The sequence below is a fragment of the Homo sapiens genome, chromosome 6 (assembly GCF_000001405.40).
Source record: "Homo sapiens chromosome 6, GRCh38.p14 Primary Assembly".
Taxonomy (NCBI): Eukaryota; Metazoa; Chordata; class Mammalia; order Primates; family Hominidae; genus Homo; species Homo sapiens.
The window spans coordinates 37,114,747-37,142,276 of NC_000006.12; the positions used below are offsets into that span (position 1 = coordinate 37,114,747).

The 27,530-nt window shown below is 47.5% G+C and overlaps 10 annotated features.

Moving 5' to 3' along the window:
• Positions 805-1,394: an enhancer, noted in NCBI's record as "H3K27ac-H3K4me1 hESC enhancer chr6:37083327-37083916 (GRCh37/hg19 assembly coordinates)". NCBI's record gives its function as "activates a minimal SCP1, AML or CMV promoter by ChIP-STARR-seq in primed H9 embryonic stem cells {active_cell/tissue: H9 hESC(primed)}" and the evidence as "EXISTENCE:reporter gene assay evidence [ECO:0000049][PMID:30033119]".
• Positions 9,247-10,225: an enhancer, noted in NCBI's record as "H3K27ac-H3K4me1 hESC enhancer chr6:37091769-37092747 (GRCh37/hg19 assembly coordinates)". NCBI's record gives its function as "activates a minimal SCP1, AML or CMV promoter by ChIP-STARR-seq in primed H9 embryonic stem cells {active_cell/tissue: H9 hESC(primed)}" and the evidence as "EXISTENCE:reporter gene assay evidence [ECO:0000049][PMID:30033119]".
• Positions 10,226-11,204: an enhancer, noted in NCBI's record as "NANOG-H3K27ac-H3K4me1 hESC enhancer chr6:37092748-37093726 (GRCh37/hg19 assembly coordinates)". NCBI's record gives its function as "activates a minimal SCP1, AML or CMV promoter by ChIP-STARR-seq in naive H9 embryonic stem cells {active_cell/tissue: H9 hESC(naive)}" and the evidence as "EXISTENCE:reporter gene assay evidence [ECO:0000049][PMID:30033119]".
• Positions 11,205-12,183: an enhancer, noted in NCBI's record as "OCT4-NANOG-H3K27ac hESC enhancer chr6:37093727-37094705 (GRCh37/hg19 assembly coordinates)". NCBI's record gives its function as "activates a minimal SCP1, AML or CMV promoter by ChIP-STARR-seq in naive and primed H9 embryonic stem cells {active_cell/tissue: H9 hESC(naive and primed)}" and the evidence as "EXISTENCE:reporter gene assay evidence [ECO:0000049][PMID:30033119]".
• Positions 11,567-11,861: a silencer, noted in NCBI's record as "tiled region #7886; K562 Repressive DNase unmatched - State 5:Enh". NCBI's record gives its function as "represses a minimal TATA promoter and a strong SV40 promoter by Sharpr-MPRA in K562 cells {active_cell/tissue: K562}" and the evidence as "EXISTENCE:reporter gene assay evidence [ECO:0000049][PMID:27701403]".
• Positions 12,285-12,962: an enhancer, noted in NCBI's record as "H3K27ac hESC enhancer chr6:37094807-37095484 (GRCh37/hg19 assembly coordinates)". NCBI's record gives its function as "activates a minimal SCP1, AML or CMV promoter by ChIP-STARR-seq in naive H9 embryonic stem cells {active_cell/tissue: H9 hESC(naive)}" and the evidence as "EXISTENCE:reporter gene assay evidence [ECO:0000049][PMID:30033119]".
• Positions 15,715-16,633: an enhancer, noted in NCBI's record as "H3K27ac-H3K4me1 hESC enhancer chr6:37098237-37099155 (GRCh37/hg19 assembly coordinates)". NCBI's record gives its function as "activates a minimal SCP1, AML or CMV promoter by ChIP-STARR-seq in primed H9 embryonic stem cells {active_cell/tissue: H9 hESC(primed)}" and the evidence as "EXISTENCE:reporter gene assay evidence [ECO:0000049][PMID:30033119]".
• Positions 16,634-17,551: an enhancer, noted in NCBI's record as "H3K27ac-H3K4me1 hESC enhancer chr6:37099156-37100073 (GRCh37/hg19 assembly coordinates)". NCBI's record gives its function as "activates a minimal SCP1, AML or CMV promoter by ChIP-STARR-seq in primed H9 embryonic stem cells {active_cell/tissue: H9 hESC(primed)}" and the evidence as "EXISTENCE:reporter gene assay evidence [ECO:0000049][PMID:30033119]".
• Positions 22,692-23,528: an enhancer, noted in NCBI's record as "OCT4-NANOG-H3K27ac-H3K4me1 hESC enhancer chr6:37105214-37106050 (GRCh37/hg19 assembly coordinates)". NCBI's record gives its function as "activates a minimal SCP1, AML or CMV promoter by ChIP-STARR-seq in primed H9 embryonic stem cells {active_cell/tissue: H9 hESC(primed)}" and the evidence as "EXISTENCE:reporter gene assay evidence [ECO:0000049][PMID:30033119]".
• Positions 26,591-27,108: an enhancer, noted in NCBI's record as "OCT4-NANOG-H3K27ac hESC enhancer chr6:37109113-37109630 (GRCh37/hg19 assembly coordinates)". NCBI's record gives its function as "activates a minimal SCP1, AML or CMV promoter by ChIP-STARR-seq in naive and primed H9 embryonic stem cells {active_cell/tissue: H9 hESC(naive and primed)}" and the evidence as "EXISTENCE:reporter gene assay evidence [ECO:0000049][PMID:30033119]".

Here is a 27,530-nt window from a genome sequence, read left to right on the forward strand (position 1 = left end):
GGGGCCAGGAACCTTGGCTCACTCCTGTAATCCCAGTGATTTGAGAGGTGGGAGGATTTTTGAGGTGGGAGGATTGCTTGAACCCAGGAGTTCAAGAACAGCCTGGACAACATAGTAAGACCCCATCTTTAAAAAAAAACAACGGATTTTGGAGTCTTCAGGGACCTTCTGAAACCAATCCCCAGCAGATACTGAGGGATGGATAAGGGACAATTGTACTTTCTCCCCTTCCATTCTCTCTTTAACCCATTTGAATCATTCCGTAACTCCACCCAAGCTGCTCTTTATTAAGATTGTCAGTCCCCTCTAGCGTGGTTAAACCTACAGGCTATCACTTAATCGTCACCTTCCTTGACTGTTCAGCAAGGATCAGCTGAGCATTCCTCCTTCCTTGAGACATTTTTTTTTCTCTTGGCTTCCAAGACACTATATTCTCTTGATTATTTCATTAAGGTCCCCTTTGCTAGGTTCTCCTCATCTCCTTCACCTCTAAATGTTAGAGAGAGCCAGACATGGTGGCAGGCGCCCATAGTCCCAGCTATTCAGAAGGCTGCGACAGGAAGGAGCCCAGGAGGTCGAGGCTGCAGTGAGCTATGATCACGTCATTGCACTCCAGCCTGGGCAACAGCACAAGACCCTTTCTCTAAAAACAAAACAGATGTTGGAGGGTTGCAGAGTTCAGTCCTTGGATCTGTTCCCTATCTTACTCTGTTGCTGATCTCATTTAGTCTCATAGCATTGAACGTCACATGGCATAACCCACGTTCCCCTAGGAGGGGAACCTTAATAAACAGTTTGCATGTAGGTAGCTTATATAGGAATGAAATTCCAGAGAGCAGAAAAGAGGGACAGGAGAAGCTAAACAGCAAAAAAAGGAACACAATTCAAGAGAGCATTCTTGAGCTGCTCACCACTATGGGAGACAGATGCCTGACCCCAAAGGACCATCTAAGGAGATTCCGAAATGTTTGTCAAGGGATGAAAAGGGGAAGGCATTTGTCTCTCAGGTTTCATTCACTGTTGGAGGAGGAAGTGAATATTTCAGCCGGGCGGGATGGCTCATGCCTGTAATCCCAACACTTTGGGAGGTCAAGGTGGGTGGATCACAAGATCAGGGGTTCGAGACCAGCCTGGCCAATATGGTGAAACCCCATCTCTACTGAAAATACAAAAATTAGCCGGGCATGGTGGTGCACGCCTGTAGTCCCAGCTACTCGGGAGGCTGAGAATCGCTTGAACCCGGGAGGCAGAGGTTGCAGCGAACCGAGATCGTGCCACTGCACCCCAACCTGGATGACAGAGTGAGACTCCGTCTCAAAAAAAAAAAAAAAAAAAGGAAAGAAAGAAAGTGACTCTCTACTAAAATTAGCCGGGCATGGTGGCGCGTGCCTGTAATCACAGCTACTAGCGCGGCTGAGGCAGGATTGCTTGTACCCGAGAGGCGGAGGTTGTGGTGAGCCAAGATCGCACCACTGCACTCCAGCCTGGGCAACAGAGCGAGATTCCGCCTCAAAAAAAAAAAAAAAAAAAGGAAAAAAAAGTGAATATTTCAGGTGTGGGAGCAGCAAGAATGAAGGGAGAAAATCACTAACCCCTAACCTCTGCTCTTTCCTTCCTATCATCTCAGTGGAGTGGAAGGGGAATAGTAGGATGACTCTGGGCTTGACCAGGGGGCCGAGTTCTACTCAGCCTTATTCCAGCTGTAGGATTTAGGCAAGTTATTTGAACTTTCTGAACCTTGGTGTCTTCATCTACAAAATGAGGAAGATGACACCTACCATAATGAGATGTGAAGATTACATAAAATAACACAATAAAGTCCTTAGCGGAGGGCCACAGACAGGCAATGAGTAGTACCATGGTTACTACTGTGATTCTTTGACTATATGATAGGAAGCTGTGTGAAAAATACCTGCACCAATTGGGAGGCAGCTGCAACTGGCACAGAAGGTCATCCTGTGGAACAGTGAGATGCAGGGGCCAGACAGTGGAGAACACTGAATCCCAAGCTGAACTCTTGGTGCTGTAACATCGCTAAAGGATCTTGACCAGTGGACGCATAGAACATTGAGTGCCTGTGACAGGAGAGAACCCGAAGGCCTGAAGACCAACAGGAAGGAACACCCTGCCGCCACCTGGCCCTCCTCAGGCCCCTGCACATCTCCCCATCAATGCCCTTTTCGTGCCCTGTTGTAGTGACCTGTTTCAGACCTCTATATGGCCATTTCCCTGGAAAGCCCTTGAGGGCAGGGAGAAGGATGTAGTCAGCCCGATCCTCAAGCCTGGCACAGGCCTGACACATAGTAAGGCTCCATGAGTATTTGCTGAAGTCTTCTCTCTTTTTTTTTTTTTTTTGAGACAGAGTTTTGCTCTTGTTGCCCAGGCTGGAGTACAGTGGTGTAATCTCGGCGCACTGCAACCTCTGCCTCCTGGGTTCAAGCGATTCTCCTGCCTCAGCCTCCCGAGTACCTGGGATTACAGGCACGCGCCACAACGTCCAGCTAATTTTTTTGTATTTTTAGTAGAGGCGGGGTTTCACCATGTTGGTCAGACTGGTCTCGAACTCCTGACCTCAGGTGATCCACCCACCTCGGCCTCCCAAAGTGCTGGGATTACAGGCGTGAGACACTGCGCCCGGCCTGCTGAAGTCTTAATAACCTGAGTGACTGCCATGCAATAATTCACATGTGAGGATGAAAACTTGGGTGAGGATGATGGCAGCGAGAATGAGCATGGTCAAAATCGTAGAATATCTGGAGGAAGAGGAAGAAAACTGTTGCAATGATAATTTTTACATGGAAAGTCAAGAAGATATGTGATCCTTGGCTGGGTGTGGTGGCTCACACCTGTAATCCCAACACTTTGGGAAGCCAAGGCAGGCGGATCGTTTGAGGTCGGAGTTCGAGACCAGCCTGGCAAACATGGTGAAACTCCATCTCTACTACAATACAAAACTTAGCTGGGCATGGTGGCATGCGCCTTTAATCCCAGCTACTTGGGAGGCTGACGTGGGAGGATCACTTGAGACCAGGGGGTGGAGGTTGCAGTGAGCCGAGATCATACCACTGCACTCCAGCCTGGGCGACAGAGTGAGACCCTGTTTAAAAAAAAGAAAAAAGAAAAAAAGAAGACATGAGACCCAGTCTAAGAGGGAAAATACAGGTCTCAGTCCCAAGTCTGCTCCCAACTCTGGGTCCTTGAGTAATTTTTCATAACGTGGGCAAATGTGGTGTGCATGTCGGGGATGGCGACAGATAGCACGTGAGGCAAAAGATGTGGACTCATGATGAGCATTTAAAAGCTTTGAGCTGGGCGTGGTGGCTCACACCTGTAATCCCAGCACTTTGGGAGGCTGAGGCAGGCGGATCACCTGAGGTCAGGAGTTCGAGACCAGCCTGACCAACATGGTGAAACCCTGTCTCTACTAAAAATACAAAAATTAGCCAGGTGTGGTGGTGGGCGCCTGTAATCCTAACTACTCAGGAGACTGAGGCAGGAGAATTGCTTGAACCTGGGAGGCAGAGGTTGCAGTGAGTCAAGATCATGCCATTGCACTCCCTGAGTGAGAGAGCAAGACTCCATCTTGAAAATAAATAAACAAATAAATAAATATTATAATAAATTCTTTGAGCCAGGCCAGGCATGGTGGCTCACACCTGTAATCCCAGCACTTTGGGAGGCTGAGGCAGGCAGATCACCTGAGGTCAGGAGTTCGAGACCAGCCTGACCAACACAGTGAAACCCTGTCTCCACTAAAAATACGAAAATTAGCCCAGCGTGGTGGCGCGCGCACCTGTAGTCCCAGCTACTTGGGAGCCTAAGGCAGGATAATCGCTTGAACCTGGGAGGCAGAGGTTGTGGTAAGCCAAGATTGAGCCACTGCACTCCAGCCTGGGTGACAGAGAAAGACTCCGTCTGAAAAAAAAAATACATAAATAAATACATAAATAAAAGCTTTGAACCAGCCAAGCACGGTGGCTCACGCCTGTAATCCCAACACTTTAGGAGGCTGAGGTGGGCGGATCATGAGGTCAGGAGTTCAAGACCATCCCGGCCAACATGGTAAAACCCTGTCTCTATTAAAAATATAAAAATTGGACCCGGCGCAGTGACTCATACCTGTAATCCCAGCACTTTGAGAGGCCGAGGTGGGCGGATCACCTGAGGTCAGGAGTTCGAGACCAGCCTGGCCAACATAGTGAAACCTTGTCTTTACTAAAAATACAAAAATTAGCCAGGCGTGGTGGTGCATGCCTGTAGTCCCAGCTACTGGGGAAGCTGAGTCGGGGGAATAACTTGAACCCGGTAGGTGGAGGTTGCAGTCAGCAGAGATCACACCACTGCACTCCAGCCTGGGCAACAGAGTGAGACTCCGTCTCAGAAAAAAAAAAAAATTATTTTTGGGGGGCGTTGTGGTGCACACCTGTAGTCCCAGCTACTCAGGAGGCTGAGGCAGAAGAATTGCTTGAACCCAGGAGGCAAAGGTTGCACTGAGCTGAGATCGCACCACTGCACTCCAGCCTGGCGACAGAGCGAGACTCCGTCTCAAAAAAAAAAAAAAAAAAAGCTTTAACCAAACTTTACCCACTAGTAGCTAGTTGAGCCTGGATATATCATTTGCCCTCTCTCTGAGGCTCAGTTTTATCTAGTAAATGGGGATTATAAGGGGATAATAATGCCTGCTCTGCCTTCCAGGGTTGTTGAAAAGATCTAAAAGATTATAGATGTTCAGATGCTCTGAAAACTGTCAAGTGTTTTTAAAATGTAAGACAACTTTAGTAATATGGTGGTGATTAATTCCTCCATCTATAGTCTACTCAATTACTCATTTAAAGTTATGGAGGGGCTGACTTTGAAGGCTCAAGCTAAGTCATTTCACAAATACTTAGATAGGTTTTGTTTTTCTTCCTCTGTAGAAAGAGGAAACAAAGATTTCAGATAAGCTGAGATTTCCAGTTTTAGGTAAAAGTGCAGGGTGAGGCACGTCGGGGTGGCTCAAGCCTGTAATCCCAGCACTTTGGGAGGCCAAGGTGGGTGGATCACCTGAGGTCAGGAGGTTGAGACCAGCCTGGCCAACACAGTGAAACCCCGTCTCTAGTAAAAATACCAAAATTAGCCAGGCGTGGTGGCGTGGGCCTATAATCCCAACTACTCAGGAGGCTAAGGCAGAAGAATTGCTTGAACCTGGGAGGCAGAGGTTGCAGTGAGCCGAGATCACCCCACTGCACTCCAGCCTGGGCGACAGAGCGAGACTCTGTCTCAAAAAAAAAGGGCAGGGTGAGTGGTTAGTCTGTAGTTCCTGGGCATGGGGAGATAGCATGAAAGTGGGACCCTCAGGCCTTCAACTCCAGGTGAAGCTCGCACCTCCTCAGGGATCTCTCTCCTGCTGCATTAGGGAACTACTGCAAAGGTCCCCTCTCACCCAGGTGACTCCTCAACTAGTAACTAAAACAGAAAATTTCCCACCTGAGTATTATTGCATTGGTGCAAAAGTAAAGGGGGTAGCAAAAACCACCATTACTTTTGCACCACCCTAATAAAATTTTTTTTTTTTTTTTTTTTTTTTTGAGAAAGGAGTCTCGCTTTGTCACCCAGGCTGGAGTGCAGTGGCGCAATCTCGGCTCACTGCAAGCTCCACCTCCCGGGTTCACGCCATTCTCTTGCCTCAGCCTCCTGAGTAGCTGGGATTACAGGCATCCGCCACCACGCCCAGCTAACTTTTTGTATTTTTTAGTAGAGATGGGGTTTCTTTTTTTGCTTTTTTTTTTGAGATGGTGTCTTGCTCTGTCGCCCAGGCTGGAGTGCAGTGGTGCGATCTTGGCTCACTGCAAGCTCCGCCTCCCGGGTTCACGCCATTCTCCTGCCTCAGCCTCCCGAGTAGCTGGGACTACAGGCGTCCACCACCTCCCCCGGCTAATTTTTTATATATTTAGTACAGACAGGGTTTCACCATGTTAGCCAGGATGATCTCAATCTCCTGACCTCGTGATCCGCCTGCCTCGGCCTCCCAAAGTGCTGGGATTACAGGCGTGAGCCACCGTGCCTGGCCCACCCTAATAAATTGTAAAGCAACCACCTCATGGAGATTAGAGCAGAGATAAACATTGTTTTAAAGAGACTCAGCAGCTCCAGAAGACTCCATTGCATATTGCTTGAACACATTTTGGTATCTGCTGAGGCATATTTAGAATGCAGGCTCTTGCTGGGTGCAGTGGCTCATGCCTGTAATCCCAGCACTTTGGGAGGCCAAGGTGGGCAGATCACCTGAGGTTGAGAGTTTGAGACCAGTCTGACCAACACAGAGAAACCCCGTCTCTACTGAAAATAAAAATCAGCCGGGTGTGGTTGCACATGCCTGTAATCCCAGCTACACGGGAGGCTGAGGCAGAGGAATCGCTTGAACCCGGAAGGTAGAGGTTGCAGTGGGCCGAGATGATGGCATTGCACTCCAGCCTGGGCAACAAGAGCGAAACTCTGTCTCAACAAAAAAAAAAAAAAAAAGAAAAGAAAAGAAAGAAAAAAAGAAAAAAGCCAGGTATGGTGGCATGCACCTGTAGTCCTAGTTACTCGAGAGGCTGAGGCAAGAGGATCACTTAAGCACAGGAGTTCAAGGCTGCAGTAAGCTATGACTGTGCTACTGCACTCCAGCATGGGCAAAAGAGTGAGACTCTGTCTCTAAAAATAAAAATAAAGTAGGCTCTCAGGCCCCACTCAGATCCATAGTATCAGAATCTGCATTTAGCAAGATCCCCAGGTGATTCCCATGCAGATGAAAGTTGCAAAGCATCCTTTAAATGCAGGGTCAAAGGCTGGGAAAAGGTGGAGTTACTCCAGGTGACAGTGCTTATAGAGCACTATCCAGAGCGTAGAGAAGGGAGTTTTGGCCAACAGGCTTGGAATATTTATTAGCATCCCATAAGACGGGCAAGGCAATCCCTACTGTGGAGATGGCTGAGTCTGCCTGTAAAGCTTGATGTCCTTAAAGCTTTCAATCATCTGACCATTCCTTGCAATGAAACTGAGCTTCCCCAAACAATGTTCCTGTTATCACTGGGCTTCCACTTGATGCAAAGATTCAGGTCCACATAACATTAGAATAGACATTATTTTTTCTACTCGTAAACGAAACAATTGGCATTCTTATTTTATATACTAATCAAACAAAACCAGACAAAAATCAGACAAAATCAGGCAAGGGTCTGATTTTTTTTATTTACTCTGGTAAATAAATTAGCCACAGTGATAAATGCCACTTTAGACGGCTCTGTCCTGAGAGTGCAGACAGCCAGCAAGTCTCTTTCCAACCAACCATTTCTCATCTATCTTTGAATTAATTTCTTTCTTTCTTTTTTCTCTTTCTTTCTTCTTCTTTTTTTTTTTTTTTTCGAGGCAGAGTCTCGCTCTGTCGCCCAGGCTGGAGTACAGTGGCGCGATCTTAGCTCACTGAAGCCTCCGCCTAGCAGGTTCCAGCGATTCTTCTGTCTCAGCCTCCCGAGTAGCTGGGACTACACGCGCGTGTCACCATGCCTGGCTAATTTTTTTGTATTTTTAGTAGAGACAGGGTTTCACCATGTTGGCCAAGATGGCCTTGATCTCCTGGCCTCGTGATCTGCCCATCTCAGCCTCCCAAAGTGCTGAGATTACAGGCATCAGCATGAGTCACCACGCCCAGCCTCTTTCTTTCCTTTCTTTCCTTCCTTCTTTCCTTCTTTCTTTCTTTTTGACGGAGTCTTGCTCTGTTGCCCAGGCTGGAGTGCAGTGGCACAATCTCAGCTCACTGCAACCTCCACCTACCAGGTTCAAGCAATTCTCCTGCTTCAGCCTCCCAAGTAGCTGGGACTACAGGTGTGTGCCACCATGCCCTACTAATTTTCATATTTTTAATGGAGATGGGGTTTCACCATTTGGCCAGGCTGGTCTCGAAATCCTGACCTCAAGTGATCCGCCTGCCTCAGCCTCCCAAAGTGCTGGGATTACAGGCGTGAGCCACCGTGCCTGGCCTATCTTTGAATTTCTAATCATCTCATGTAATTGTACTCCATTGTTGCTCTAACAATGTGTCTCAATTTTGTCCTGTCAACTGGTAAGTTTCCTGAGGGCAGCAAAGGATCACAGCTGAAAACATACCTGTAGAAAGGACCAATCACCTACTGTGAACTTAAACCCAGACAGGAAAGAAAGTTCAGGCAAGGAGTATTTCACTGAGGTTTTCATACAGAAAAAAATGAGGCCAATTGAATGTGGACCCACAAGGGAATGGTTAACTGAATTATGGTATATATGCTCAACACAATGCTATGCAGCTATGGTCCACACAGATTACATGTGGTAATGTGGAAAATACCAATGATGTATATCCCGTGACAGTCAGACTCCCTGCAGGAAACAGATGGCACGCTCAAAATTGGGAAAATTGAGAAGGGTCTAATAAAGGGGCTATTTACAAAGGTGTGGGCGGCTCTGGAAAAGCGACAGAGCAGAGGGGCGCTGTTTCCATGGCTAGGCCAGGTGTCAAGGGGGAAGGGGGGCCCTGCTGGAACATGAGGGGAGAACTACCTGGAGAGGGTTCAAGGGCCCCCAGACAGGAGCTGCAGGCTTTGATGGAGGGACTCTGTTAGTCTTCGGTGATCTGGAAGGGAGGAAGAAGGGGAAGGAATATCCCTCAAACCCAACCAGAAGCCAGAGGAGGACAGGGGAGCAGCACACAGAAGCCTCCTGGAGCACCCAGCAGGGTGCAGGCGGATGGGGGGCAATCTGCAGGGGCAAACAGGAGATGTTGCTAGTGCTCCAAAACAACACTCCAAAGCGTGGCACTTTGGCATGAACTAAAGGAGGCTGGAAGGCCTCCAAAGCAGCCTCAGAAGTCAGTTCTCTCTGACCTCCTGCCCTCCTGTTTCTCGCCCTTGCTTCTTCCACCCAAAATCCTAGAAAACAAAATTCCCCTTCCCCAAAGCGGGTTATAGAAACTAGAATCCCAAGGCTGAGCACGGTGGCTCAGGCCTGTAATCCCAGCATTTTGGGAGGCCGAGCCGGGGGGGATCACTTGAGGCCAGGAGTTCGAGACCAGCCTGGCCAACAGGGCAACATGGTGAAACCCCGCCTCTATTAAAAATACAAAAATTAGCCGGGCGTGGTGGCGGGCGCCTGTGATCCCAGCTATTTGGGAGCCTGAGGCAGGAGAATTGCTTGAACCTGGGAGGCGGAGGTTGCAGTGAGCTGAGATCGTGCCACTGCACTGCAGCCTGGGTGACAGAGTAAGACTCCGCCTATTAAAAAAAAAAAAAAAGAAAGAAAGAAAAGGATGGGGGAGGAGGGGAGGGGAGGGGGGAAGGGAGGGGAGCAGAGGGGAAGGGGAGCAGAGGGGAAGGGGAGCAGAGGGAGAGGGGAAGGGAGTGGAAGGGGAGGAGAGGGGAGGAGAGGGGAAAGAAAGGAAACTAGGATCCCTCTCCCCAATAGCAAGCCCTAAAACCTAAAAAGGTCACTCTCTCTCCCTTCTCCCTTCTTTTATTTTTCTTGAGACAGGGTCTCTCGCTCTGTCGCCCAGGCTGGAGTGCGGCATCGCGATCTCGGCTCACTGCAACCTCCGCCTCCTGGGTTCAAGCAATTCTCCTGTCTCAACCTCCAAGTAGCTGGGATTACAGGCACACACCATCAAGCCCAACTAATTTTTATATTTTTAGTAGAGATGGGGTTTCACCATGTTGGCCAGGCTAGTCTCAAACTCCTGACCTCAACTGATCCGCCCGCCTCAGCCTCCCAAAGTTCTAGGATTACCAGCGTGAGCCACCGCGCTCAGCCTCCATTCTCCCTTGAAGACCTTCATTCCAGAAGGTCCTGCCCCAGACCCTGGAGGAAGGAATGCTACACAGGGAGACCAAGGCGAATCTGCACAGAAGGCCTTGCTGGGCCTCCCTCTCAGTCTGTTACCACTAGATCATCCCCTTTTGTCCAATCCTGTTTCTACACAGCTGTCCATTCTTCACCCAGCCTAAGCAAAAAAAGAGACCATTTTCCCTGGGTCTTTGGACCTTCATTTCTGAAGGCTCCTACATCAAGCAAAACTTGGATTAAATGAATTTGTTGGGCCGGGTGCAGTGGGTCACACCTATAATCCCAGCACTTTGGGAGGCTAAGACGGGAGGATCGCCTGAGCCCAGGCATTCGAGACCAGCCGGGGCAAAATGGCGAGACCCTGTCTCTACAAAAAATTTAAAAATAAGTCGGCCATGGTGGCACATGCGTGCCTGTAGTCCCAGCTACTAGGCAGGCTGAGGTGGGAGGATCCCTTCAGCCCAGGAAATCGAGGCAGCAGTGAGCTATGATGGTGCCACTACACTCCAGCCTGGGGCAGAGCAAGACCCCAGTCTCTAGAAAAAAAAAAATAAGTAAATAAATAAGTTTGTTGCCAGGCCCAGCTTTCTAGGAGTCTGAGGCAGGAGGATCGCTTGAGCCCAAGAGTTCAAGGCTGTAGAAAGCTGTCATTGAGCCTGTGAATTGCCATTGCACTCCAGCCTGGGCAACATAGCAAGACCCCCATCTCTATAAATAAATAAACAAACAATGAAATGTGTGTTATGCTTTTCCCTTTTTTTTTTTTTTTTTTTGAGACGGAGTCTCGCTCTGTCGCCCAGGCTGGAGTGCAGTGGCGCGATCTCGGCTCACTGCAACCTCCGCCTCCCGGGTTCACGCTATTCTCTTGCCTCAGACTCCCGAGTAGCTGGGACTACAGGCGCCCGCCACCACGCCCGGCTAATTTTTTTTTTTTTTTTTTTTTGGTATTTTTAGTAGAGACGGGGTTTCACTCTGTTAGCCAGGATGGTCTCGATCTCCTTACCTCGTGATCCGCCGCCTCGGCCTCCCAAAGTGCTGGGATTACAGGCGGGAGCCACCGCGCCGGGCCGACGGGCTGTGTTGCTTTTCTAATAAAACACAGTCAATGAGGCAAGTTAGGGGAAAGGGTATGGGGGAGGAGGTGGAGCAGCACAAGTCTTCCCCTCCCCTTAGTCCAAGGCAGCCCCTTGAGGCACCTTCTGGTATCCTTCCAATCCCTTCATTTTGCAAAAGGAAGAAGTGACTTGCTCAAAGTGTAAAGCAGGTTAGCGGCAAGATGGGAGGAAATCCGGATCTTCCCCCTCCCCCACAGATTTCCAAATTGTCCTTGCCTGCCGTCCGTCTCCACACCACCCGACCTCCCTTCCCCCGCCACTTGCCCCCTTCCCTTTCTCTCTTTCGCGGCAAATCCAAGAGCTTCCCTGATTTGAAGCAGCTAAACAGTCTCACACCCTTAATCTCACTGTCTGAATGATAAATCCTGTAGGGCAGCTCATTCCATTCAAGCCCTTCACACCCTCCTCTGAGTAGCTGGGTGGTCTCTTCCGCCCAAGTGGGGGCTGCTGGCCCTTCCTTCCACTTAGCATTCCCCCAGGAGTCGAGGACTTCCCGGGAGCCCGGCATTCGCCTCCAAAACAATATCCAGATAAGACACGGCCCTCCCAGCCCCCTTTCAGGGCCACACCATAAAATAAAGCCGCGTGGGCTTTGCACCCCTGGACAGAATCCTTTGTCTGGGTTGGAAACAGCCTGAAAAGATGAAAGGGGCTCCCACTCTGACCTCTTCACCTCTTGTTATCTTGGGCCCACTCCCCTTAGACTCTCTGAAGCAGACAGCGGCGTTTTCCCATGGTCACTGGGGTTAACGACGTCTTAGCAGCTAACTGGGAGAGGAATGTGAGGAATGTACCTGCCTAAGGGGCGATTATTTTCATCAAGGACAGGCTGAAATGGATAATGAGGTCAAAAACAAACGCCATCTCTTTCTCAAAGGACTCTCTAAAGGGAGGCTATTAGATATAGTTCATTAGTTGAGGGTGGGGGGCTAGGGAGCTACTTTTTGACCGTTGCCTGAAGAGAGATGGAGGCATTTTGCCAAGTTTAGATTCTTCTCCAAGTCAGTAGGGGGCTAAGTTTAGGCTCCGATTCAAGCTTCCAGATATCTGAGTTTCATTCGGGTACAGGCAACAAGTGGCATTCTGGGCTGAAAATATTTGCAAGAGAATGTATTGTAACTGTTCAAGTGGGGTCCATAGTAAAAAAAAACAAAAAAACAAAAAAACTAATATCCAAAAATCAAATAATCAATTGTGGAAAACTGATGAACCAGAGTTTCTGTTTAAAAAGATATTTGTCGGTTCAATTCAGTATAACTACTATAACTACATTAATTTTATTAAAATCACACATACTTTATATAGTTAAAGCCTTTATACATTTTCTCTCCAAAAACCTTAAGAATAATTTCACTGTAAAAAAACATTTATCACATATTAGCATATTTATATAAAATGTCCCAGGGCCAGGGCTGGCCACGGTGGCTCATGCCTGTGATCCCAGTGCTTTGGGAGGCTGAGGTGGGAAGATTGCCTGAGGCAAGGAGTTTGAGACTAGCCTGGGCAACATACTGAAATCTTGTCTCCAAAAGACAAAACAAAACAAAAATGGATAAAATTAAATATTCCCTTTTTATTCCATTGCCATCACTGTAATTTAGGCTCTAACTCTCTACTCTTCACCAGTGGATTTTCACATAACTTACAAACTGGAACCCCACTTGTAAACTCCTTCACTTCCATTCATCCTGCATCCCATACAGTTTACCTTCTTCAAATGTATCTGTGCTGTGTTCAAAACCTTCATTGCTCACCAAGGCTGAATGTGATAAGGTATGTGCTACTTCAGTGCCCAGGCAGAACAGACATTCCTTTCCCCTCCATTTTTCTTTATACCATTACAAAATGAAGTTCAAACTCTCCAGTCTGGCATTTATAGCCCTCCAAATCTAAATCTGATTAACTTTCAATCCTAACATCCCCACTGCATGTCCTCCCCATATTTAAAAGCCCACCCTCTGGCCAGGTGCAGTGGCTCACGCCTATAATTCCAGCACTTTGGGAGGCTGAGGCAGGTGGAGCACTTGAGGTCAGGAGTTCAAGACCAGCCTGGCCAACATGGCAAAACCCCGTCTCCACTGAAAATACAAAAATTAGCTTGGTGTGGTGGGGCACCTGTAATCCCAGCTACTTGGGAGGCTGAGGCAGGAGAATCGCTTGAACCCGGGAGGCAGAGGTTGCAGTGAGCCGAGATCGTGCCATTGCACTCCAGCCCGGGCAATAGTGTGAGACTCTATCTCAAAAAAAAAATAAATAAATAAATAATAAAAATAAAACAGGATGTGAGTAAAGCACTTTGCAGTGTCTGGCACAGAATCAATTCTATAAATGTAAGCTTTGACGATAATGATGATATAGACTGATACCTGTAAAAGTTCTTTGCATAAAAAGACAAGCCAGCTCTCTGTAGAACATGCTGGACTCCAAGTTCCCTGATCAGGCTGTGGTCACGCAGGCCTTTGTACCTTTGCTCTAGCTTCTGTCTGGGTTTGGAATGTACTCTCCCCTCCTTCTCTTATCTCCATACTCAGCTCAAAGGACACCTTCCCAGGGAGGCCTTCCGAGACCAGCACTTCACCCCTGGCCCAGCAAAACTAATTCCTCCCTCCCCCAAGGGCTCATAGCTCTAAGATAGCAAGTCTCACATTGTATAATAATAGCTTGCTTATATGTTGATAGCATATTAACATAGTTTCAGAATTTTCAGGGTCCAACATAGTCTTGGGTCTAACCTGCCTTTATGGGTGCTCAGTAAGAGTATGTGGAAGGAATGAACAAAGGAATGGCTTGTCCCTGAGGGTACCTGCATGGCTTCACACCAAGTCCCACCCACCTGGCCTCTCAACCCTCAGACCTTTGATGGCACCTCTTCGAGAATTGTCTTTCCTGGCAGATCCCTGGAATCTACGAAAACAGGGTATGATTGCATTTTCAGCTACTATCTCCACGCCACTTTGTGTGACTTGCTGACCAGCTGGAGGTGCCACGAGAACATGACTCAGGGTAACCGAAATGTACTTTAGTGCCAAAACTACAGGATTCAGTTATAGGATAGTATTTAAACTGCTGCACTAGGAAGTGTCTGCAAACAGATCTGTATAATGTAGTGTGGCAATGTTAACAACTTGGTGGGCTTGTATCCTTTTTAGCTACTAGAAAACTCAGCATAACAAAATGATACCTGATCACTTCAAATTTTTGTCCAGTAGTCATGAAAGACACAAACGATCCTCCTTCTTTTCCCTATGCCGAGCCCCAATCCTGCGTATTCATTGTGAGATAAGGGGGTCACATTCAAGGGTGCAGTCTCTGGCCTCGAGTTAGGACAAATACACTGGGCCCTCACAGTCTCATTAGCACCTACTACATCCAACCCAACTAATAGACCATAGCCAGAGCTTCAGGGCTGCCAGAGAGGCAATCCAGGGCAGTGGTTAAGAACTACAGCTAGGCCAGGCGCAGTGGCTCACACCTGTAATCCCAGCACTTTAGGAGGCCAAGGTGGGTGGATCACCTGAGGTCAGAAGTTCAAGACCAGCCTGGCCAACATGTTGAAACCCCTCTCTACTAAAAATACAAAAAAATTAGCTGGGCGTGGTGGCGGATGCACCTGTAGTCCCAGCTACTCGGGAAGCTGAGGCAGGGAAAATCACTTGAACCCGGGAGGCAGAGGTCGCAGTGAGCCAAGATCGTGCCATTGCACTCCAGCCTGGGGGACAGAGCGAGACTCCATCTCAAAAAAAAAGAAAAAAGAACTAGGTGTGTGGTGGCTCACATCTGTAATCCCAGCACTTTGGGAGACTGAGGCGGGAGGATCTCTTGAGCTCAGGAGTTCAAGACCGGTCTGGGCAATATGGCAAGACCTCATTTCTACAAAAAAAAAATCAAAAAATTAGCCTGGTATGGTGGTGCATTCCTGTAGTCCCAGCTACTCTGGAGGCTAAGGCAAGAGGATCGCTTGAGCCCAGGAGGTTGAGACTGCAGTGAGCTGAGATCACGCCCCTGCACTCCAGCATAGGCAACAAAGTGAGACTCTGTCTCACAAAAAAAAAAAAAAAAAAAAAAAAAGGAACTAGAGCTCAGCGCCAGGCATGATGGCATCATGAGGCTGAGGAGGGAGGATCGCTTGAGTTTAGGAGTTCGAGCCCAGGCAAAATAGCAAGACCCCCATCTTAAAATAAGGATAAATAAATAAAAAAAAAATGCCCTTAGTCTCCAGCCAAATTTGGGTCACTTTAGGGATTCCCCACTTATTAACTATAAGAACATGCAAATATGTAAGTCTCTGAGCCTCGGTTTCTTTTCTTTCTTTTTTATAGAGACAAGTTTTCACTATGTTACTCAGACTGACCTTGAACTCCTAGGTTCAAGCGATCCTCTGGCTTTGGCCTCCTAAAGTGTTGGGATTACTGGTGTAAGTCACAGCACTCAACCTAGCCTGGGTTTCTTTATCTACATACTGAGGATAATATAGCCTAACTCAGAGGATGGAGGTAGGAGGATTAAATGTGATAATGTAAAGTACTTAGTACCTGGCACACTGAGTGATTCCTAGATGAGTGTTACCGGAAAGCTATAAATATATAAGCTAGAGTAATAGCGGCCCAGTAAATAATCAGAAATTAGGGAATATATACATCTGTGGGTTGGGAAGAAGGGAAAAGAGGGAAGATGGCTGTTCTGGGATGAATGCTTTTCTCCAAGGGCAAGGGCAGGGGGAGAGACTGAGGTGAAGAGGCAGCTAGCCAAGGTAATGAATCGTCTGTCCCAAGATCCTGGAGTTACTTGTTCATCAAACAGTCCCCACCTTCTTTACCATATATCCTGCCTTCTCCAGAGTTCTGCTCCCCTGGATCCTCTAGGATCCCTCAGGGAGCCTGAGAGAGTCACTCAATTACGGTTCTGTATTTTGAGATCTGGAGATAAATCTTGCGCATCATCAAACCCCACCGTGTCACTTTATCAATGAAGGAACGAAGCTCAGAGAGAAAAGCTAACCTGCCCAAGGTAATCAGTTCTGGTCCTGCCTCTGCCTCTAACTTGTGGTGAGACCTTGGGCAAGTCACTTCCCCTCTCTGAGCTGGAAGTTTTCTCCTCTGTAAAATGAGGGGCTTGGAGTATTTAGAGATCTAATTTCCCTTTCAACTTTGCCCTTTGCTGCAATAAAATAATGGTTCCTTCTGCCACCGTCAAGTTTAGGGAAAAGAGTGTGTGTGTGAGTGTGTGTGTGTGTTTGTGTGTGTCATGGAGTCTTGCTCTGTCACCCGGGCTGGAGTGCAGTGGCGCAATCTTGACTCACTGCAGCCTCTCTTCCTTCCACTCCACCTGCCCCACATACAAAAGTCAAGACAAACATGTTTGGATAACTTTTGAGCTCACTTAATTTTAAATTGAGTGCTGGTTTTCACCAGGGGTAAAGACAAGAAGGTAGAGAGGGGCCAGGCAGAGGAAACTGCTGGAGGAAGCTGGTGACTCCCAGGCGCCAGCTGATGGGACCAGCCCTCCCCCCCGCCCCCCCATGATCCCTTCCTTGCAGGGCTTCTAAGAGCTGGCAGCGCCACAGGGATAAATAAGGCCAACAACCGCACCTTACATGGCCATCCCAGCAGCCGCCCGGAATCCCGAGGATTACGCAGACTTCTGGAGGACTTGGAACAAGTGCACATCACCTGCTGCCACCACAAGTGTTGCCCGGGCTTCTGCAGCCTCTGTCCTGTGACTGAGGAATTTTTAAATGGAAGCTCTGAGCTCACAAAGAAGAAAATGTCTCCCTGATGTCACACAGTTGCTGCCAATTCATCAGCTCCAGCTAAAGGTCAGCGAGGGGGAAGCCACTGCCGGAGGGTCTGGCTGCCCCTCCCTGAGATGGGGCTTCCCTCCTGCAGGCTTGCTGCCAGCCATCCAGGCCAGCCACAGAAGCTGAGGGCTGCTTGCATTTCCAGGGCACACACAGAGCAGTACGAACACCGCTTAGCTGCTTCTGCCCTCCTCTGTGCAGATATTAACAGATTCAACCTCCCAGCCCTATCCTCCCCAGCTCTCCCTTCTGTAGACAGTCAGAGCAAACCCTGGAGTCTTGATCTAACGTGTCCTGAGGGTCCTTCCCTGGGATCACTTCAGGAGTAACACTAAATCACAGAGAGGTTGTCTTGGGTTTTTAATGACGAAATGCAGTGGTCAAAAGCTAGGAATCCCACTGCCTGGGGTCACAGCCTGGTTCTGCCACTTCCTAGTAGTGTGATATTTGCAAGTTAAGCCTCTCTGAGCCTGCTTCCTGACCTGAAAAATGAGGACAATAAGAATATTATCTCACATAGTGTGGTCCTGAGGACCCATTGTGAAGCACTGGTATAGATCCTGGCAGGTAGTAAGTGCTCAATAAATGTCAGCTTGGAATCAGACAAGACAAAAAAATAGAATAAAATAAAAGGAATCAACATGCAACTACTGCTGGGCAAGTCACTTAATCCCTGAGTCTTAATTTTCTCATCTGTCCAACAGGGATAGGCATATGTGACAGACAGTCACTGAGAGGACTCAATGAGAATGAATACAAGGCCATCAACACAGCACCTAGCAATGGAAAAATACATGGTGGCTGCTGGGACTATTATCTCTATCTATCAAAACTTGATCTGGGCCAGGCGCGGTGGCTCATGCCTGTAATCCCAACACTTTGGGAGGCTGAGGAGGGCAGATCCCGAGGTCAGGAGTTCGAGACCAGCCTGGCCAACATGGTGAAACCCCGTCTCTACTAAAAATACAAAAATTAGCCGGGTATGGTGGCAGGAGCCTGTAATCCCAGCTACTCGGGAGGCTGAGGCAGGAGAATCGCTTGAACCCAGGAGGCAGAGGTTGCAGTGAGCCGAGATCGCGCCACTGCACTCCAGCCTAGGCAACAGAGCAAGATTCAGCCTGGAAAAAAAAAAAGAGACTCTGTATCCAAAAAAATATATATGCATGGTCACACATGAACACAAGAACATTTTTTTCAATTACTTTTAAGAGTTTTTCTCTCTTTGGGGGACTCTTTCCTGTTCTGGCCTAAATTGCTAAGGAGATAAGAGAGGTGAAAAAGAAAAGTAGACCTGCCGGGCGCGGTGGCTCACGCCTGCGATCCCAGCACTTTGGGAGGCCGAGGCGGGCGGATCACGAGGTCAGGAGATCGAGACCATCCTGGCTAACACGGTGAAACCCCATCTCTACTAAAAATACAAAAAAAAATAGCCAGGCGTGGTGGCAGGCGCCTGTAGTCCCAGCTACTGGGGAGGCTGAGGCAGGAGAATGGCGTGAACCCGGGAGCGGAGGTTGCAGTGAGCTGAGATCGCGCCACTGCACTCCAGCCTGGGGGACAGAGCGAGACTCTGTCTTAAAAAAAAAGAAAAAGAAAAAGAAAAAGAAAAAGGTACATGGAGGCCGGGCGCAGTGGCTCATGCCTGTAATCCCAGCACTTTGGGAGGCCGAGGCGGGCCTCCCAAACCTCATTCCCGGGTTTCCCCTGGGTCTTCTTTCTCTTAAGACAAAGGTGTACAAGGCTCACTGTGGCTCTTGGTTTTATCCTTCCATGGGACATTAATATTTTATTTATTTATTTGTTTATTTTGAGATGGAGTCTTGCTTTGTCACCCAGGTTGGAGTGCAGTGGCGTGATCTTGGCTCACTGCAACCTCCATCTCCTGGGTTCATGCAATTCTCCTGCCTCAGCCTCCCAAATAGCTGGGATTACAGGCATATACCACCACGCCTGGCTAATTTTTGTATTTTTAGTAGAGACAGGGTTTCACCATATTGATTAGGCTGGTCTTGAACTCCTGACCTCAAGTGATCCACCCACCTCATCCTCCCAAAGTGCTGGGACTACAGGCGTGAGCCACCACTCCCAACCTATTTTATTTTATTTTATTTATTTTTGTGGGGCTGGGCTTGGTGGCTCATGCCTGTAATCCCAGCACTTTGGGAGGCCAAGGCAGGCAGATGGTTTGAGTTCAGGAGTTCGAGACCAGCCTGGCCAACATGGCAAAACCCTGTCTCTACAAAAATAGAAAAATTAGCCAGGCATGGTGTGGCGCATCTATAGTCCCAGCTACTGAATCTGAGGAGAGAACATGGCTTCACCCTAGGAGGTTGAGGCTACATGAGCTGAGACTGTGCCACTGCACTCCAGCTTGGATGACAGAGCCATATCCTGTCTCAAAAAAACCCAAACCCAAAAAACCCACATTATTTATTTTTATTTTTTCGAGACAGGGCCTCACTCTGTCACCCAGGCTGGAGTGCAGTGGCAGGATCCCGGCTCACTGCAGCCTCGACCTTCCCCAGCTCAAGCAATCATTCTGTCTTGGCCTCCCAAAGTGCTGGGATTACAGGCGTGAGCCATAGTGGCCGGCCAGGCATTAACATTTTAATGACTAGATCTAGAGGTTTGATATAAATATACCTCCTCCTGTAAACATTTGTTGAGCCTATTCCCAATTGCCAGGCACGAGGCCAGGCTCTTCCACTGCCTCACAAGCACCCTGGTCCCGTCCTTGAGTCATCAGCTTCCCAGATGCTTCATATGGGAACCTTGGAGAATCGCGGTGTGCGACTCTCCTCACCCCATTCCTCTCAAATCCAGGCAATGACCAAGTGTCCTGAGATTCATCTTCTGTCTCCCATTCACGCTTCACTTCCATTTCCACAGGGCACCCCCCTCAGCCCTTCCTTGGGTCACTTGTGTCACTGCAATAGCTCATTGACAGAGGCCCCTGCCTCCAGCCTTACCTCCTTCTAATCTATCCCCCTTCATCACGTTATCCCCCAACTCCAAATCCTTCAAGAGTTTCCCAAGTTTCCTTCAAGATCCTCCGTAATCCTGCCCAGACTCTCCGTGGTGGGATGTATTTTATAGAGACCTGCCTGATCCTTGACAGGGGTTTCAGTGAGGGAAGGAGGTGAGGGTCCCAGGGTGCCAGCCTGAGCGGAGGGGTGTGGACACAGGAGGGCCTGGTGCAATGTGGCTGGGGCGAAAATCTGAATCATAGTCAGTGAGGGCAGCCAAATTCCTATCTGGGAAATCAGGGCAGTCTGAAGGGTGAGGCCAAGCTGTAAACAGAATGAGTAATGAGGTCAGAAGCTGGTGGGGACCAGAATCACGTCTAGATGCAGTTCAAGGAAACGGAAATGGTACAAGGCTGAGGCTGTGAATTGAATTATAAGAAGGTATTGAAGTAACCCAAACATGCTGCTCTATGCAGGGATGGGGGTGGGAGGAACAGCCCGAGAAATCTCCCGTTCCTCTCGCTCCCTAAAAGGGTACCAAATACATGCTCTTTGCTTTTTCATGTGTGTGTAAAGGCCCTGTCTCCCCTGCCGCCTACAGTTTCATACCCCTCATATGCCTCCTAGCAATGCCAAGTGATTTGTTCAAAGTTGCATGCAGGCAGATGTGGAAACAGGGCTATATCCCTCCAGCCAACTGGGGATATGCTAGGGCAGTGAGCTGAAACTCAGGTTCATAGGTTGGCAAATTACATCTCAGATTCTTCATCTGTAAAATGAGGATAATAACAACATACTTCATAATAGTGTTATATTACAATAACACCACTATGAGGATTAGCCAAGCAAATATTTCTAAAATACTTAGAACAGTGCTTGGTACCTCGTATATGTTGTATAAGTGTTCGTTAAATAAAAATAAGGTACTCAGCTGGTAGGTAGGGCCAGTACTGAAAGTCAGTTCTAATTTTAACATTTGAGTCCTTAGCTCTTCCAAAACTAAGGTCAACAGCAGGCTACGGTGGACTAGGCTGACTACAGGACTTTCAAAAATTAATTTTCCCAGCCAGGCATGGTGGCTCACGCCTGTAATCCCAGCACTTTGGGAGGCTGAGGCGGGCGGATCTTGAGGTCAGGAGATCGAGACCATCCTGGCCAACATGGTGAAACCCCGTCTCTACTAAAAATACAAAAATCAGTTGGGCGTGATGGTGAGTGCATATAATCCCAGCTACTTGGGAGGCTGAGGCAGGAGAATCACTTGAACCAGGGAGCTGGAGGTTGCAGTGAGCAGAGATTGTGCCACTGCACTCCAGACTGGCGACAGAGCGAGACTCCGTCTCAAAAATAATAATTTTCCACTGTGTGCGATGGCTCACGCCTGTAATCCCAGCACTTTGGGAGGCCAAGGTGGGTGGATCACTTGAATCTGGGACTTTAAGACCAGCCTGGGCAACATGGCAAAACCTCGTCTCTACAAAAAATACCTGCCCCCCCGCAAAAAAAAAAAAAAAAAAAAAAAAAATTAACCAGGCATGGTGGTGCGCACCTATAGTACCAGCCACTCAGGAGGCTGAGGTGGGAGGATTGCTTGAACCCGGAAGGTCAAGGTGAGCTGTAATCTCACCACTGCACTCTAGCCTGAGCGACAGAGCAAAACCCTATCTCAAAAAAAAATATTAATTTTCATTTCAACTTAGAAAAACATGCTGTTGACTTATTTCACTGGGGCACACAGGAAATACCACTCAAGTTACTACCCTTACCTGTTCTTAGGAAACCACTCAGAAATCCAGAAGGACCAGTTCAAATATACTACCTATCCCAAATTTAATAGGCCTCACGAAAAAAAAAAAAAAAAGAAAAAAAAAGCCAGTCTTAGAAAATGACTGTGGGTGTCAAAACCAGCAAGGATTAGGCAATGGAGTTGAGTCCAGCAAGGTTCAAGGCTACAGCTCGTGTTGGAAAGGGAGCTGTGAGGAGTTAATGCAAAGAGGAGGAAATATTCTATTTATTTTTCTCAAAACTATTGGAGGTGGTAGTGTTTGGAAAGGGAGGGAGGAGGGGAAAATATGAGTGTATGGTTTGTAAAGTGATAAAATATGGACTCAGTGTATTGTAATAACTCAGTAGCAATTCAGAGAAGATAGTGCAAAAGTCTGTTTGCTCTAGCCATCTATCAACCAGAAACCTTTATTAACTGAACCTCTCACGCGACTACAATATGGCACTAATAGATGTTTGAAAATGATGACCCTGATATACTGCAAAATCCTAAACAGCTTTCTGAAACAGGAGAAAAAAGATGAAATGAAGCTTGCTATGGTTTGTGACAAGCGTATTTTATTGTATTCTAATTTTTTCAAAACAAGCAATATTTTTGTCATGTGTAGTATGTGATGATTTATATGCCATCTAATAACTTTCTATTCGTCATAATATTAGAACAATACATTACCCGACTGTGGTTGGTATCAGGGTTTAATAAACATTCTTTTTCTCCTAACACGCCACCACCAGCCCAGTTGCTTGGTTCCATTTTCCCTCCCGTTGTCCTTTATTTAATTTTAGGCCCAAACTTGACCCCAGTGGTCTTCCACTGTTTTTATTCTTCCCTAAGGAGGGTGTACCTGGCCTCAGGAGCCACTTACCCGGCCTCGCAGAAGTTTCACACTTCTGTTTCACACCCAGGGTGGAGCTTTCTTTCTCATAACAGAAAATAAGGAGGGACAGCCGCCTGGGTACACTTAAAAAATAAACGCATCTCTGGGGAGGTAAGGTCCTCGGAGAGCCAGGCAGTGACAACTGAGTGGTGTGGAGCACGTGGATTAAGTAGAACAGAAACAGATCCTGCCAGGACCGCCCCAGGGACGCCAGAGACACAAAGCAGAAACTGATTGTGCCCGGAGGGCCCTGCATCCCTTACCCACGCTGGAGGTTCTCCCGCCTTTTCTAATTACCTTCCCATTTCTTTTGCTCCCCTTCTCAGCCCGAGTGTTCAGGACTCTGCATACCACAGAGGTCAGACACAAATAAAATCCATACATGGACTCCATTCTCGGGTCACAGAATTTGGTGAACAACTCAGATTGAAGATGGCTCCCGCTCCCACCTCCCAACCCCACCACCAAAGCTTTGCTTGTAAACACCAGTCACTTAGTAACACCCTCCATCAGTCGCCTTTGGGCTATTATTCATCACCGACTAACCTTAAACCAACTTCATCTTCACAGGGCTCCCCCTAGAAGAGAGGAAATTCCACAGCTCTGATGTGATGTGAAACGTGATCTGACCGCCCCAGCACTCTTTCTTTCTCACTCTCCCCAGCCAGTTCTCAAACTGGGTTTCCCTGGCCCCTCTCGGGGAGGCCTTCTCCCGCCCCACTCTCCACCCCCTACTTCTTTCCCTCTCCATTTTCCACGCTGTAACCTGATAGGCTGGAAATGCAGCTTCTTTCATCTTATATTTCCCACATCCTGAAAGTTTGGAGAGAAGGAGCCCACCCAGATGAAGGAATTCCAAGTATGTGCAGCCCCCTCCTCCTTTAACTCCATTCACAAAGCAGATTACTAATGGCCCGAGGCTCCAGGGAGGCCCCATCCCCTCCCCACCCCCCACCTCCCAGGGAGTTTACTCATTCCACATCCTTACTCCTCGCCGGTACAGAAACCTAAGTCCACATGCCGAGAACCAAAAATTAACTTTTCCCTGGACTCTGAGCCTAAGAAAAGCTTTCAAACCTCACTCTGATTGGGACTGCAGTGGCCAGGAGATTCTGCTTACCAATCATTTGTCCCCTCTTTAGCATTTTTAGATAAAAGGGTTCAGGGAATATGAGTCATTGGATCAAGGGGAAAGGATATAACTGTAAATGCGATGCATGTCAAGGAGGCATGCTCAGGTCTTTAGGAAAGATCACAGGGCGTTCTAACTCAGAGTCATTTCAGCAGAAATTGTTTCAAGACCAGAGTAAGAGATGCTTCAAGATAGGCAGAGAATGTGTGGGGGAGGCCGGGTGCGGTGGCTCAAGCCTGTAATCCCAGCACTTTGGGAGGCCGAGGCGGATGGATCACGACGTCAGGAGTTCGAGACCATCTTGGTCAACATGGTGAAACCCCGTCTCTACTAAAAATACGAAAAAATTAGCCGGGCGTGGTGGCGGGCGCCTGTAGTCCCAGCTACTTGGGAGGCTGAGCCAGGAGAATGGGATGAACCCGGGAGGCGGAGCTTGCAGTGAGCTGAGATCGCGCCACTGCACTCCAGCCTGGGGGACAGAGCCAGACTCCGACTCAAAAAAAAAAGAATGTGTGGGGGAGTATGGGGGGTGCGGCGGTTCTGGTAATGTTTTTTGTTAAGAAATGTCTTGAGTCTTCACTACCTGGAAATTAGTGATCACGAAACGTGCCCCTGGGTCAGTTCTTTGGTCCTCCTGTCTTGAGTTCTGTCACTGACAGGGAAACAGGACAGGGACAGCTTCTTTGACTCAACCTCAACCTCTTCCTCAAAGGTTAGGAAGTACCCCCCCAAGCATCCTTTTTCATTAAGGATGCTTAACTATCTTATCTATCCTTCAAGGAGGGTGAGAAAGCAAAGCAGTTTTGAATCTGTACCCGCCTGGGATAATCAGTTCCCTGAGCTTACAAGCTTTGTGTGACATGGAATTTCCTGTATCAAGGAGTTCACTCCTGTCCCAATATTAGGAAGTACATTTAATAGATGTCTACCCATGTTGTCTTTGCAACTCAGGATAGAGTTGCAAAACTTGCTCAATGCAATAGCATTTAACAACAACAACAATATATATATATGAGATAAATCTGGGCATATGTTAGTGCATAGGGTTATGCATTCAATAGGTCTAATGATTGCCAAAGAACTCTCATAGAATTCAAGAGACCAGACCTGGAAGATGCAGTAACAGTGATAAGAAATAACAGACTGTGGCAGAACAGCCACATTGCAACTCCTTGGACCATTCCCAAGGTGCTGAGAAGAAATCTGTACTGCAGCTCAGCCCCAGGTTTGCAATCTTTATGTTTAAAGTGCCGCCTGCTCATGACATCCAACTGGTAATAGGCTCCTACCAAGGCTCAGCATCCTTAGGAGATAGCAGCACAAAATGATAGAATCAATGCCTGCAACAACAGAGCAAGTATTCATCTCTCTAGGCCTCAGTTTCTTATCTGTAAAATACTAAGGCTACCCCAACCCTTGCTTATCAAAGTGCAATCCCCAGACCAGCAGCAATGCATCAGCGGCTAACTTGGGAGATAACTAGAAATGCAGGCTCTCAATCCCCACTCTAACCTGTTGCATTTTCACAAGCTCCCAGGTGATTCCTGTGTACATTACAATTTAAGATGCCTTGGCCTAGACTCAGGCTCTGCAAAGGTCCTCTACATAGTACTGAAATTGTCTGATCTCATTAAGTGGCTTCCAAGGAAGTTTTTCTTCTCTGATAAATAGTTTTCCGGCCAGGCACGGTGGCTCACGCCTATAATCCCAGCACTTTGGGAGGTTGAGGTGGGCGAATCACAGGGTCAGGAGTTCAAGACCAGCCTGGCCAACATAGTGAAACCCCATCTCTACTAAAAAATACAAAAAATAAGCCAGGCGTGGTGGCGGGCACCTGTAATCCCAGCTACTCTGGAGGCTGAGGCAGGAGAATCGCCTGAACCCGGGAGGCGGAGGCTGCAGTGAGCTAAGATTATGTCATTGCACTCCAGCCCGGGCAATAGTGTGAGACTCTGTCTCAAAAAAAAAAAAAAAAAGTTTTCCTTCTTTCTTCTGCCTCCAGTCTTGGAATGTACTGTGTCCTCTGCCAAGGAACTCAAATTTTAGTAGGCATAGGACTCATACAAAGACCTTATTTACAATGCAGATTCCTGAACCCCATCAAGAAGCTGACTAGGACCGTGGTGGGGCCAGAGAATCTGTGTTTCAATCAGTCTCTTCCATGCGGTTCTACAGATTATGGCCCCAGATTACATATTTTTTTCTTAACTTTTCTGTTATGTAAAATTTCAAACATGGAAAAAAGAGACAAAATAGTAATATTAAACTATCATGTTTCAATCCCCAGCTTCAACAATTATCAATCAACTCAAGGCCAATTTTGTTTTCCTCAGATCATATTTTTGAAAAACTCATAGCTAGACCCTCCAGACCTTCCAGATTCCCTTCACCTACCTTTAGTGTTCAGCGTGTTCTCACTGAGGGCAAGAGTTATATCCTATTATCTTAAAATCCCCAGTATCTAACACAGTACCTGGCACATGTGGTACTCAATAAATTTGTCATAAAAATAACAAATTAAAAATAATTTTAGGCCAGTGATGGTGGCTTATGTCTGTAATCCCAGTATTTTGGGAAGGCAAGGTGAGAAGATCACTTGAAGCCAGGAGTTCGAGACCAGCCTGGCCAACATGGAGAAACCCCATCTCTACTAAAAATACAAAAAATTAGCTGGGCATAGTGGCGGGCACCTGTAATCCCAGCTACTCGGGAGGCTGGGGCAGAATTGCTTGAACCTGGGAGGTGGAGGTTGAGGTAAGCCGAGATTGCGCCAGCGCACTCCAGCCTGGGCAACGAGAGCGAAACTCCATCTCAAAACAAAAAAGAAAGAAAGAAAGAAAGAAAAACAACTTTAAAGTAAAACATAAATTATCATCTGCCTGGATGGTTTACACTGCAGGTAGATGGCATTAGTTGTGTTCTGATTTTTCAATTATTTGGCTGTGACTCCTTTTGCAGTTAGGGAAACGAAGGCATTCAAATGCATTGTACCAAGTGAAAGAATTAGAAAAAAGATTCCAAAAGCCCCAGTTTACACCCCCTTCCTTCCTGGTTTCATCATTTTGTAAAAGATCTTGTGCCTGTGTGTGTGGTAAGAGAGAAGGTAGGAAAATACCTCTGGGGAATGAGGATATCATCTCAGGGCCTTTGTTTCACTCTTTAACCTAGTAATAAATCTCTTAAAGCTCCCGTGGTATTCAGAATATCCTGTCTATGGCAAGGTCTTCCCACAGTTGTGAAAGGAATTCAAGTTTACTAAGTGGACAGAGCCCTGATATTCCAAAGGCACAGTCCAGCCCTTTTCACCTATTTGCTAATTAGAATGGCTAAATCTCAGTCCTGGGTATGCTAAATAATAGGAGGGAGGGTAAGAGAAGGCAGAACCGAAGCTGAGAAAAGAACTCTGCAGTTCCAAAACTCAGCACAACAATCAAGGGATAAAGTGGTAATTAGGCCTGATTATCATGCAAGGCAGCCCTGGTTAAATTGGAATGTAGCCGGAGAGACGAAAGGCTGGATGGAGAGTTTGCTATGCTGGAGACATGCTTTGATGTCTGCAGGGAAGGTTGTGTTTCATTCAGCCATCCAACTAACCAAAAAAAAAAAAAAAAAAAAAAAAATTGTTGCAGAAGCAATATGAAACCTTCCAAAATGCAGCATACGGGAAGCAGAAGCAGAGAGCAAGTGGCTGGGTCTGAGCTCTCCTTCTGAGTGAGTGTGTGTGTGTGTGTGTGTGTGTGTACTTAGATGCAGCTTTTCTCAGATTTACTACTCCAGCTTCTTGGATCTGTCAGAAGACAAGAGAGAAGAAAGAGTGCGCGCACCAACTATTAACTCACTATCCTTGGTTGAGCAAATTCTTATAACAAGGGAGAATGTGTCTAAGCTCGGGGCAGACTTTTTACCTGCTGTGGGGAGGAGGCAAAAGAAATAAGAGGTAAACTACTCTGTGTGTCCCTGAGAGGCCCAAAACTAAGATAACAGATGCTGATGGAGTCATCTGAGGCTGCCAGCTACCACAGCTTTTAT